A 13,669-nucleotide genomic window follows, 5' to 3' on the forward strand; every position below is an offset into this window, starting at 1 on the left:
TTTTTTTCTTCTCAACAACAAATGGGCTCCAGACACTCTAAGAGTCCTAATAAGGTCTATTAGAACTTGGTTAACATAAGTCTGATCTAAAATATTAATACTGCTAAGATAAATTTTAAAATTAATCCCCAGAGAGGTAAAGCAGATGCTAGTTCAGCTAGGTCAGCTGGTAACTAGGGAATAGAAATAGGAATACTGTCTGAATCCTATAACATTTAGCATACATCAAAAGTCCCACCTCCTATTTCAAGACGTCAGTTACTACTTCAATTATCCATTTATCCTTGGAATTCCCATTACATCTATTATCTATATCATTCATCATCATTAATTGCCTTATATTGTGAAGAAACCCTATTTCAGGAAAACTCATTGTTTTCTTCTTCAATCAGTGGAAGATATCTCTGTACCTTATGAAGATAGATGGTTAATAATTTTTGAAAATCAACTGATGAGTCAGAGACTCTTACAATTTCAGGCCTGGTACCCTTTTAAGGGGTTATGGCTTCCTAAGCCCTTGCTAATCAACATGTGGCGTGCAGACCAGTCACATTAGTATTACTGGGAGTTAGAACTGCTGAATCTCAAGCTCTGCCCCAGACCTAATATATCAGAATCTGTTTTTTTCACAGAACTCCCAGGTGATTCGTTTGCATGATAAAGTTTGAAAAGCATTGCACTTATATTCACCAAAATACTATACCTTGAAATAAACTTCATAAGGCTGAGCACTTTTTGTGGTTCCCATGGGCTTCCCAGAGCATGAAGTGAGAAAATGTAAGCAATGAAAGGAATGGCTGAGACTACTGGTACCATATAGGTAACACTGATAATATTTTAACTACATTGAAATAAATCACCGCCATGGGTGCCAACTGGCTTCATACTATAATGCCTTGTATGGGAGACCCTTAAATATAATTTTAGAAATGTCCATGGAGGTTTCATTCTGAGGCACTGCTGTTGGAAGGTAAACTGTTGTGACCTCGTAAGAGGGCAAGTTGGTCTAAAAATATTTATATCTGGCTGGGTGCAGTGGCTCATGCCTGTAATCCTAGCACTTTGGGATGCCAAGGCGGGCGGATCACGAGGTCAGGAGTTCGAGACCAGCCTAGCCAGCATGGTGAAACTCCATCTCTCCTAAAAAATACAAAAATTAGCCGGGCATGGTGGCGCATGCCTGTAGTCCCAGCTACTCGGGTGGCTGAGGCAGGAGAATCACTTGAACTTGGGAGGCGGAGGTTGCAGTGGGCCAAGATTGCGCCACTGCACTCCAGCCTGGGCAACAAGTAAGACTCTGCCTCAAAAAAAAAAAAAAAAAAAAAAATTATATCCTTAGACTCAATAATTCCACACTTAGGAATTTATCTTAAAGTAATGAGTAAGGATGTTTATAAAAGATTCCTCTGCAATAAGCATTATTTATACAGGTTGAGCATCCCAAATTCGAAAATCTGAAATAAAAAATGCTACAAAATCCAAAACTTTTTGAATATTGACATAACACTCAGATTTTTGGATTTGGGATAATCAACATGTATAATACAAATATTCCAAAATCCAAAAAATCCTAAATCTGAAACACTTCTAGTTCCAGGAATTTCAGGTAAGAGATACTGAACTTGTACTAACATATAACTGAAAACAAGTTATTTGTCTAATAATAGGAGATGGGTTGAATAAAAGATGGCCCATTCCTAAGCTGAAATACTACATATCTTCTAAAATACCATAAAACATGATGTTTAAAAGATATTAATATTATACGATTCAGCAACATAACGAAGTTTTGTAAAATCATATATATGATATAAAAGATAAATTATATATATATATAATTTTATATAATTTATCTTTTTTTTTTTTTTGAGATGGAGTTTCACTCTTGTTGTCCAGGCTGGAGTGCAATGGAGTGATCTCAGCTCACTGCAACCTCTGCCTCCCGGGTTCAAACGATTCTCCTGGCTCAGCCTCCTGAATAGCTGGGATTACAGGCATGCGCCACCATGCCCGGGTAATTTTGTATTTTTAGTAGAGACAGGGTTTCTCCATTATGGTCAGGCTGGTCTCGAACTCCCGACCTCAGGTAATCCACCTGCCTCGGCCTCCCAAAGTGTTGGGATTATAGGTATGAGCCACTGCTCCCGGCCTAAAATTTATCTTTTATGGAAGAAGGAATCTTGAGCAACATGTGAACACACCACTATTTGAAAAAAAAAATCACATTTTTTGCATTGAACTGTACACCAGAAAAAAGGGGGAAGGGTAGAAATACACATATATCTATTTATTTGCTTCACAGTAGAGTATTTTTTGGCTGTGTTACTACAATGTCTTCAAATGGAACAAAATGAAAACAAGTAAAACTGCTTATACTTTACAAGCCACATAACTAAGGTCCTCACTTTTATGTGGTACCAAAATGTGGTACAACAACCAGAGAGACAGATACGATGGCAGCATCAAGACAGACAGACTACAGCAAGAATGCAAGTGGCAAATGCCATGAAAAGCATGTCCTCAGTATTTGTGTTGATGAAGATATGCTTCTTCAACACGAATGCATTGTTGGGTCTGTCCTTTCCTTCTCATCCTTCCACTTTCAGTTGACAAGACCCTGGGAAAATGTACATCTTAATTAAGAGCCATGCTACACAGTTCCGAGGTAGAATTTCAGTGTTATTATTACTGTTATTATTATAACGTGAAGTAATAATATTTTAAATTCATTTACATACTTTACTACAAGCCAAATGTAAGGGTGTATTCAAGTCCTTATCCTTTACAGTCAGATCAGCCTGGGCACTGTTCACCAAAATATCTGTAGAAAAAGCCCAAAAGAGGGTTACTTAGATGAGATGCTAATTACATGCATTTTGAAGAAGTTACTACAAACACAATAACATATTTAAATTAGTACAGTTCACATAATCATATTTAATGTATTTAAAGAAAAAAGGGAGTAATTTATTCTCATATCTGTGCTATCCAAATCCAAGGTTAATAGGCACTAATTTTAACTGCTTTTACAGTTCATTATTCCCAGTTAAAATGATTCTGTTGTTACACTTGGTTTCTAAATGTTGATAATTTCATTGCAGAAGGGTTAGCTCTTTGACAAGGTCCACCAAGAATCAAAAAACAGGGAACTGAAAGACGCTTGAGCAGGTAGAATCAGGTGACTTAAGTAAAACTGCTAATGGCCCTTTTCCACGTGTATATACTATGAGAACAACTGATTTCTTGATTTGACATTATTTTGGTTTTTGCATGGGCATAAGGGCAAAGTCCATACAACAAGCACATACCCACAGCGCCTGCCTGCCCATTCTCAGCAGCCATCATCAGTGCTGTTTTCCCTGAATTATCTACTGCGTTCACTGGAGCACTGTGTCTCAGAAGAAGCTGCAAGCACTCCACATGATCAGCAAATGCTGCCGCATGAAGGGGTGTCCTAAAGATTTAAAACAAGTATCACTTTAGTTTCCTTTAAACTTTATTCTCGCTAGTTACTGCCCAAGAAACATGCACAAGGTGTTGTCTTAAGGATTTAAAACTTCTCAGTTTATAGACATAGTGATCAGGTCCCCTCCCTCTAAAGGTCATCCAGGATAGACACTGAAATATCACCTATGGGACTGGAACCCCCTAGATTTGGGAGGGGGGTGTGTGTTGGCCCTGATAATGAAATTAGTGTCTTTACTGACTCTTTAATCTTAAGTTCCAGTGAGTCTACTTTTATCTTTGAGATAGATACTTTAAAAATTAATGCTTAAGTCTGTAGATAATTGGCAGATTAAATAAAAATTTTAAAAACCCGTCACATCATCTATTTTGGTTGCTTAATTTCTTTTAGAGGATAATTTGGCATTATTTATCAAAATTTAAAAATATCAACCCTTTAACCAAGAAATCCACTTCTAGGTATTTATCTCTCAGATACACTTGGTCATGTGTACAGACACTTATTTATTTATTTATTTATTTATTTATTTATTTATTTATTTATTTTTGAGATAGAGTCTCACTCTGTTGCCCAGGCTGGAGTGCAGTGGCACAATCTCGGCTCACTGCAACCTCTGCCTCATGGGTTCACGCCATTCTCCTGCCTCAGCCTCCTGAGTAGCTGGGACTACAGGCGCCTGCCACCACACCCGGCTAATTTTTTATATTTTTAGTAGAGATGGGGTTTCACCATGTTAGCTAGGACGGTCTCTATCTCCTGGCCTCATGATCCACCCGCCTCGGCCTCCCAAAGTGCTGGGATTACAGGCGTGAGCCACTGTACCCTGCCCAGACACACATATGAGAATGTTCACCACACCACACTTTGAAACAGCAAAATATTGGAAACAATCTAAATGTTCTTCAATAGAGGGCAGGATGAGCAAATTATAGCATATCCATTCAATGAAATAATATGTAGCTTCAAAAAGAATATGGTAAATCTGTATGTTTTGGTATGGAAGGATCTCCAAGATATACTAAAAGCAGAGCATTGTTACAGAATGCTACCATGTGCAAAAAAGAATATATGGATATATACATATATGTGTATATATGTTTGTAGATATGCATAAAAATATTTAGGAGAAAATAAAATTTGTAAATAACAGTGTATAGTAGCTTTCTCTGTGGAAGAGGCTAGGGATTCTAGGCTTAGAGGGAAATTTATTTTAATTATACACCCTCTGTAATATTAAAAACCATGCTTATCCATTATTCTTTCAATTAAAAACATAGATGTTTGGCTACTCTGCAACTGCAAAGCAGAGGGTAAGATTCATCAAGAAAAAAGCATGCTGTTTTAGATTACTTACCTGCCTTTGTCATCTCTACAACTGACGATACTGGAATCTATGGCCCCAAGCAGCAATGATGCACAATTCCCATGATCATTGATTCTAAAATGAAAATGGGTTTTAATGTAACAATCTCACTCTTTTAAATTATATCACCTCCTAACCCATCTTCCTATGTACTGTATATTTGACAATCTGAAGCATTTAAAAAATCGAACGTAAATATTTGTGGTATATGTTTCAATGGCATACATTTTGTAACCCCTAGCATTACTTCAGAACCTCTATATCCAGGTAGAAGTTTATTGCACTTATGCAAGGCACCATGTTAGGCGTTTTGGAGACATCAAAGTGGAATAGACATGCTTCCTTCAGATTTAAAATCTTTCTGACCTTTGGGAGGCTGAGGCAGGTGGATCATGAGGTCAGGAGTTCAAGACCAGCCTGGCCAATATGGTGAAACCCAGTCCCTACTAAAACTACAAAAATTAGCCAGGCGTGGTGGCGCGCACCTGTAGTCCCAGCTGCTTGGGAAGCTGAGGCAGGAGAATTGCTTGAACCCGGGAGCCAGAGGTTGCAGTGAGCCGAGATTGTGCCACTGCTCTCCAGCCTAGGCGACAGAGCGAGACTCCGTCTCAAAAAACAAAATATAAACAAAATAAAATCTTTCTGACTCTTTTTTACTTATACTTTCTTTATTGATCTACTTTATGCCTCCAATATCTTTCCAATCAAATGACTCAGTTTCATATAAAGGCCAGAGACAATGTAAAGACAAAGAATCCTCAGGTCTTGGGCCCCCAGGCTAACTATGGAAGCCCAGTTGAAAACAGACTCCCAGGCTGACTATGGAAGTCTGACTTAAAGTCACTGTATCCTCTGAACTATGATTCACTATTGAGACTGGAGCAAAAATTAAATTTATCAGACAAGAGCTTACAACATATGAAAGATGAAGAATTTCAATATATGAAAAGTTGTCCCAGTGTGAAATGCCTTTCTAACCATCTGTAGGCATACTGTTGTCAACGCTGACTTATTTTTAGAATTTGGCAGACAAATGTGAGTTATACCTGAAGAGTTCTTCACATGGGTAATGCACCTCTCACTCTACCCCTTCACGAGATTTCCCGAGGGTGGCATCTTTGCCACTTTGGAACTGTGGCACTCCACAAAAATCTCCGGGAAAATCATTAATATTTTGCTATCAGATCTACTTGTCTTTAGCAGCAAAAATGGAATATTTCAGTCTTATCTGTAATCTAAAAGACTTTTTTCCCTACAAAGCAACTTTTCTATGTGTAGTTAAAATCATTAAAGCAACATCATTAACTCTCAGCGTTTCTACTTACATTGCACAGTGCAGTGGAGTAAAGGGATTACCGATAAATTTGCGAAAACATTTTTGCTCCAAAAGTACCTCTATACAGTTTTCATTACCTGCAAGAAATAAAAATAATTTAGGGAGTTTCCAAGAAAGAAATTTTGTTCAACCCAATCTGCTTTTTCATTAAGTATTGAGTTTTTGGTTTATGAATTTTCCTGAATTGGCTGAACATTCATTCTCCATGAAATAATATTAACAAAATGCCAAAATGTTATTAACATGTTCACAGGTGTTCTGAGACTTAATGAACAAATAAAACAATGAAGGTCATATGGTCTGGTGAAGAGAGACAGAGAAGATGACTCATTTGCAAGCAGAATATATTCTGTTTTATTCTCAGCTCTTGAAAGATAGATGCCTCACACAGGCATGCTTCAATTTGTCCACATTTATAAGAGGAAATGTACCTTTCACCCATACAAATACTTCCACTTACATTATGCATTCTAGTGGAGAGGCGAAACTGTGATTAGGAGAAAACAGTATTTGAGATAATGCATGTGAAAATTGACTATAAAATACTATATGTGTTTTAACTGCCCCCAAGAACAGTTCTTGGCACATCATGGGCATTCAGTAAGCACTATTCAAATAAGTAGATGAATGAATATGTGAAATTATTTTCAACAAAATGGTAGGTAGTTTCCAAATCAACTGAATTCAAGTTAAGTAAGGTCCTAGCTGTCAGCTTACTTGTTATGTGATCTGAGGCAATTTACTTGGGATCTCTGAGCCTCAGTTTCTCACATATTCAAAACTGGACTAGGAATACCTGCCCTACCTATGTCACAGGATGGTGAGAACTTTACTCAATAAAGGGCCTCAGTGTGGTTTGTGACGTTCTATACAATTGTAAGACAGATCTTGCTGCCTGGTATTGTCTCCCAGGAAGAAGGGTGATGGTTCCCCAGCCTGACTAAGCATTCCCTCATTACAGACCTGGTTAAAACAAAAAACAAAAAACAACGACAAAGTCTCTGTGGTTCTCAATTCTAATGTGGGAAGGCATTGCCATTTTGCTTTGCAACACAGATTGTCCTGAAACCTCTTCTTGGTTGAACTCAGTGCTAAGTTAGTGAAAGTTCCCTTATGATCTACCTCAGAATGATGTAGATGGGACAATTTGAAATATTAAAATACAAATCAAACTTTTCTTATATCTAAAAAGAGAATAGGCAATATTGCTTTTAGACAGATTAAAAAGCTTATGAAGTAATAAATATAAAAAACTGGCAGTGGCTGGGCATGGTGGCTCATGCCTGTAATCCCAGCATTTTGGGAGGTCGAGGCGGGCGAATTACTTGAGGTCAGGAGTTCAAGACCAGCCTGGCCAACATGGCGAAACCCCATCTCTCCTAAAAATACCAAAAAAAAAAAAAGATGTGTGGTGGTGCCTGTCTGTAGTTCCAGCTACTCGGGAGGCTGAGGCAGGAGAATCGCTTGAACCCAGGAGGCAAAGGTTGTGGTGAGCCGAAATCACGCCACAAGCCTGGGTGACAGAGTAAGACTCCATACACCCCTAGAAAAAAAAAAGCCAGCAGCTCTAGGAAAGTTGTATGATTTAGCCTTCCAACTAACTACATGGAACCGTCATTGAAATAGTCCCAGACACCTCAAGTCTTCCAAAGGATCTAGCTTAGGGTAGCATCCACACATAGCATTCCTTAAGTGGGGACTATATGAATCCCAATTTAAGAGTCTGTACAGGTAGGACTGGAGATGACTGAGCTCCTTTCAATATTTCAAAGTGCCTAGTAAAAAGGAGTCTGGGAAGATGGGAGCTTGAAACTCAGTCCTGGACAAAGGCTGCACTGAAAGGGTGAACGGCTTAGGAGGAGACTGCTCCTCCTCCCCTGCCTGTACCTGGAGAGGCTAGGAACACAGACACCTCTCACCCTGAGCCCTGAAGAGAGGATCTGGTCTGTGTCAGGTTTGCGGCCCGCCATTATAATCAGCACTCTCACTGCATCCTTCTCCTCTTGTAGGTTCTCCAGTGCCAGAGAGCTCCCACAGCTTGACCCAGATGGGGGTCACCCATTAGTAGGTTAAAAAAAAAAATCACAATCCTCCAATGGCAGGAAGGGAACAAAACCAAGTTGAGGAAATAGAAAATTTGGCTCTTACTGAGCAGAATGAATGAAAAAAGAGGACCGTAGTGAAAACACAGTAAGAGGTCTTAAATTGATATAATTAGAACACACACACACACACACAAACGCCTTTTGTGGAACTATTAATGGTTTCTAAATTAAAATTTTAATTGACTAATTGAAAATGTAAAAAGAAAATTATAGAAGCAAAGTAAAAAATACATGGGAAAATATCCATATAATCTTAGGGGTAGGAGACCTTTTGAAGAGAGACTGGAAACCTGGAAACCATACAAAATCTGATAGGATCTTGGTTTTGTTCATTGACATATTTCAAGTATCTAAACAGTAGCTGCCATTGTAGTTATTCAATACATATTTGTTGAAAATATAATAGAAATGTATCTCTGTAACTGATTCAAGTACATAAAAGCTCAAAATCTCTAAGTGGAAAAAAACATCCTAAACAAGGAACAAAAATATTCATATTTCTAAGACATTCATATCATTAAACATTCATTCATATCACATTCTTATCACCAAGACAAGGTGCTCCCACAAGCATACGAGAAAAGATAAATAGCTCAATAGGAAAAAAGTGAACAGTGGATGGAAAAAGTAATTTCTAGAAGAAGAAATACAAATAGCCAGGGTACTATTAGATAGGGAAATGCAAATTGAAACAAGAAGATACCTTTTGCCTCTCAAATCGACAAAAATTTAAAAAGGTGTTATTCTGGGTTGGCAAGCATGAGGAAAAACACTAACTTTTATACAAATGTTTGGTGAAATAATAAATTTTGATATCCTTTTTGCAAAATAATATGGTATAATTTATTAAAATTAAAAAATACACAAACCCCCTTACTCAATAATTTTATTTCTGGAAACTTATCTGAGAGAATTTATGGTACCATAATATGGACATGCACATTGCTGCATTGCTTGTAATAGGAAAAAAGAAATCTGAATGTCAATCCACAGAAACCTGGTTGAATAAATAATAAGTTCTGGTATACATATTGCTATGAAATAATATACAACCATTATAAGATCAATCCATATTGATACATATTGACTTGTAAGAATATCTGCAATACAATTTAAACACCAACAAAAAATTATAGAATGGCTGCTATTTGTTCTATAATTCCAGTTTCAAAAAATATACACATTAATTTATAATTATTTATATTTTCAAAGGAAAAATTATGAAAGATGCACACAAAATTACATTAGAAAGTAGGTTTAGAAATGGAAACAATTTTACTTCAGATATTTCTGTACTTTGGAATTGGTATAATTAGGATGCATTTTTAAATTAAGTGAAATACAAATTTAAAAATCTCCCAAATAATAAGTACAACAAAATAAATAAGGAATATGAAACACAACAAACACCAAAAGATGAACCATGCATCTACTAGTAATCAATTGTGACAGGTTATTAAATTATATACATATATTTGGTATTAGTTTTATTATTTTAATCCCTTGTGGGATCCTGGTTATATTATATAGATCAGAAACCCTGAATAAAATTGGTCATTTAAGCTTATCGGTTCTGATTACGGTTAAGTGTTAATGATTAACTAAAAGGGGAAAGTGAACTTTTACTCAGTTAAGGCATCACAGCAGCTGTGGAGGGGTGAGAACTATTAAAAAAACAAACAAAATACACAAAAAAGATATCTTGGATGCAGAAAGATTAGAAACCATGGTTTGCAGAATTACATAAGGCTCTCACCTCCACTGAGCTCACAGTGGTCCTGGGGTAGGAAGTCTAGTGGAATCAGTCAAATGATAAGCAACTCACCATTGTAACAAGCCCAGTGCAGCGGCGTGTAGCCTTGGTTATCTTTGAAACAACAGTCCTCCTCAGAAAGAGCCATTTGGAGCAGCTCGCTCAGCCACGTGGCGTGGCCACGAGCAGCTGCATAGTGCAAGGGCGTCCTCCCTCTGGAATCTTTACAGAGAATTGACACTTCTTGTTCCAGCAGCATTTGCACACATTCCTCGTGTCCTGTCATAATCTGATGCATTGTAATTAAAAACACAAAACAAACCTCAGAAGACTAAGGAAGCAAAGCAGTTGGCTAAGTGAGGCTGGGCTTAGAGCAAGTGGACATATGCCTGGGTCTTTAAGGAAGGCAGACTCTGTCCTATTTCAAGGGCAGAAGGCAGGACAACCTCAGCAAAATTCATAACAGAAAAATCTGTGAACATCAGCATTTTCGAAATATCTCTTGCCTCTCCTGACAACTGTGAAAGATATCATGATGCGGCCGGGCGTGGTGGCTCACGCCTGTAATCCCAGCACTTTGGGAGGCCGAGGCAGGAGGATCACTAGGTCAGGAGATCGAGACCATCCTGGCTAACATGGTGAAACCCCATCTCTACTAAAAAAAATACGAAAAATTAGCCTGGCATGGTCGTGGGTCCCTGTAGTCCCAGCTACTTGGGAGGCTGAGGCAGGAGAATGGCGTGAACCTGGGAGGCAGAGCTTGCAGTGAGCCCACATTGCGCCACTGCACTACGGCCTGGGCGACAGAGCAAGACTCCATCTCAAAAAGAAAGAAAGAAAGATATCATGATGCAGCAGTAAACATGAGTTTTAGAATCAGGAAGATCTAAGTGAAATCTTGGCACCCCTGTGACAGGTCAGTTCGCCTCTCCATCCCTCACTCTATTCACCTATATATAAGAATAGTAATAACAACTTCAGAGGACGTTGTGAGGACTGAGATAACAGATGCAAAGGCTCTCAGCTTGTTGTACAGCACACAGGAAGCAACTGAGAAATAAAAACTATGACTGTGACAATGATCACATAGCGTTCCTCTTCTCTTCATTTATCAGTGTACTTGGTACCAGCCCAAAATAGCAATTTTATGATTTCTGCTTGTGTTTACTTAGTTTATTTGGCATGCTTTAAAAAACAGTTCAGAGGGTGCAAGTGGCTAATGCCTGTAATCCCAGCACTTTGTGAGGTGGAGGCAGGAGGATCACTTGAGCCCAGCAGTTTGAGACCTGCCTGGGCAACATGGCAAAACCCCATCTCAACAGAAAATACAAAAATTAGCTGGGCATGCTGGCATGCACCTGTGGTCCCAGTTACTGGGGGGAGTTGAGGTGGGAGGATCATTGAGCCTGGGAGGTGGAGGTTGCAGTGAGCTGAGATTGTGCCACTACACTCCAGCCTGGGTGATAAGAGTGAGATTAAAAAAAAAAAACCAAACACTTCAACAGATGTGTGCAAATAATTGCCCACAGGATACATATTTTGGCATTATTTGTAAGGACAAACAATTAGAAATTGCATAACTACTGAAAACCAGGTAATCATTGAAATAAACTATGACACTTGAACACAATGAGGCATTAAAAATCATGATGCAGAAAAAAATGAAATGAAAAAAGATCCTTGATATACTAAGAGAAAAAAGCAGAATCCAAATGATATCTTCAGTATTCTCTTTTTAAAATCTAAAACAAATCTATATATAGAAAAAAGATTGGAGATAATATACATCAAATAGTGGTTATCTCCAGGAGGTATGATTACTGGTGATTGTGATTTTCTTCTCTGGGCTTTAAAAAAAAATATTCTGCAAATTTTCTATGATATACTTGTATTTTGTAGTCAGAAAGCAGAACCAATTTCACCAGCAGTAGGTGTTCATGCATCTATTATCACAATCTAACATGAAATCTTAAGAGCAAAACCTTCCATTATTTTGCCTTTGCCAAGGATTTTGTAATTTCTTTTGGACTGAATAAGGTTAATTGGTTGTATTAGGAAACAATTTTTGCTAAACATTTTTTGCTAAAAATCCAATCAAAGTAGGCCCTTTGTAATTGTTTGCTAAAAAAGAAAACAAGCTCATTAAAAAAATTGCTTGACTAGAGCTGAGAAAGATGTACATACCCCTCTGTGTAAAGCTGTGCATCCTAGGATGTCAACAGTGTCTACGTTGGCTTCCTTTTCAAGTAACAATGAAACAGCGTCAATATGTCCATATGCTACTGCAAGCATCAGTGGTGTTCTAGGCAGAGAGATAAAGCAGGCTTTTAAAAAGGAGATTTAAAAAAATATTCATCACTACCAGTAGGAAGACATTCTCTTTCTCCCATTCTCTTCCCCTCTCCTTTTGACAATTTCTTAATATTTTCTAAGTGTCCCCAGTTTGCTATACAATATGCAGAACAAGCTATCTGCCTCTGCTCTAATGGCCACATGGAATGTTGTTAGTGGAATGATCCCTAGGGATGAGGCAGGGGAAGCTTCCTTTTCAAAATATTCATGTTAATCCCATCATTTTCAGATCCATGTAGCATTTACTAGATATCAAGGGCGGGGAGTATGTGTATGCAGAAGCCCCTCTTGCTTCCATCAGAGCAGCTCTACTTTGTAGTATTCTATGTTGGACTTCTGCTAAAGATTTCATTTACACAAAGCTTCTTTCCCTAAAGAAAAGTCTGTCAAGTCTCCGGGAAAGAATGAAGTGTTGTGATGCAAGAGGGAGGTGAGATTCTGACTATCACACTGATTCACATGCCTGGGGCTAGTCACTGCTGACTTTTGCTCTGCATTTCCTATTTGTAAGAGAAGATTAGGTGGGGAATATGCCAACAGAAGGAAATTACTTTGAAAAAGCAAAGTTGAGGAAGAAAAGGCATCTGAAGGATTTTAATAATAGAGATAACCTCATGAGGTCTGTCCTATTTATTAATTAGAAAATGGCAATGGTGTAGCAGCTTCAGAAGAAGGTAAAAATGGGCGGAAAGAGGGAACAAAGGAGAGAATATAAATAAGAGCCGGGAAACATGGCCACAGCCCTTAAAAAGGTGATCCTTTCATCAAGACATGTGCACACCCACTCCTTCATGCTTTTCTTGGATATACGCACTGTGACTTAAAGCCACCTCATTGTGTATTGGTCCTGGTCCAAATATATTCCTCCAATTTCTCGGTTCCGCAGTCAGCCTTGTAATGATTTAAGAAACCAACCAGGTAGCTGCTGTGATTGAAATGTCAACCCAAGGCCACGTGTGAGCGCACTTACTGTCCTTTGGCATCTTTCACATCGACCGCCTCCGGGTTGTCTGCAATTTCTAGCAACAGCCGTAAACACAGTGTGTGACCATTAATTACTGAAAAAGAAAACAGTGGACAGTCTTTTAACAGAACAACACTACACATATCTCTTCCAAATGACTTTTTCTTTTTTTTGAGATGGAGTCTTGCTCTGTCGCCAGGCTGGAGTGCAGTGGGGCGATGTCATCTCATTGCAATCTCCACCTCCCAGGTTCAAGCTATTCTCCTGCCTCAGCCTCCTGAGTAGCTGGGATTACAGGCATGCACCACCATGCCTGGCTAATTTTTGCAT

At 38.4% G+C, this 13,669-nt stretch overlaps 1 protein-coding gene across 16 annotated transcripts in view; it reads right to left on the reverse strand.

Annotated features, from left to right (window-relative positions):
- The window catches only part of ANKRD44 (ankyrin repeat domain 44), a 343,767-nt gene that overhangs the window by 28,585 nt on the left and 301,513 nt on the right, over window positions 1-13,669 (reverse strand). For all 16 annotated transcript variants that reach the window (NR_160034.1, XM_047446287.1, XM_005246948.3 and 13 more), the window contains 7 exons: window positions 13,346-13,433; window positions 12,208-12,325; window positions 10,096-10,312; window positions 6,155-6,242; window positions 4,821-4,904; window positions 3,309-3,454; window positions 2,739-2,821 (listed from right to left, as the gene is read on the reverse strand). Coding sequence is in view for 15 of the 16 variants with exons in the window: in XM_047446287.1 (XP_047302243.1) it covers window positions 2,739-2,821; window positions 3,309-3,454; window positions 4,821-4,904; window positions 6,155-6,242; window positions 10,096-10,312; window positions 12,208-12,325; window positions 13,346-13,433 (824 nt within the window). In the remaining variant the exon portion in view is untranslated. The remainder of the gene's footprint in view (window positions 1-2,738; window positions 2,822-3,308; window positions 3,455-4,820; window positions 4,905-6,154; window positions 6,243-10,095; window positions 10,313-12,207; window positions 12,326-13,345; window positions 13,434-13,669) is intronic.

The sequence above is a fragment of the Homo sapiens genome, chromosome 2 (genome assembly GCF_000001405.40).
Source record: "Homo sapiens chromosome 2, GRCh38.p14 Primary Assembly".
Classification (NCBI taxonomy): domain Eukaryota; kingdom Metazoa; phylum Chordata; class Mammalia; order Primates; family Hominidae; genus Homo; species Homo sapiens.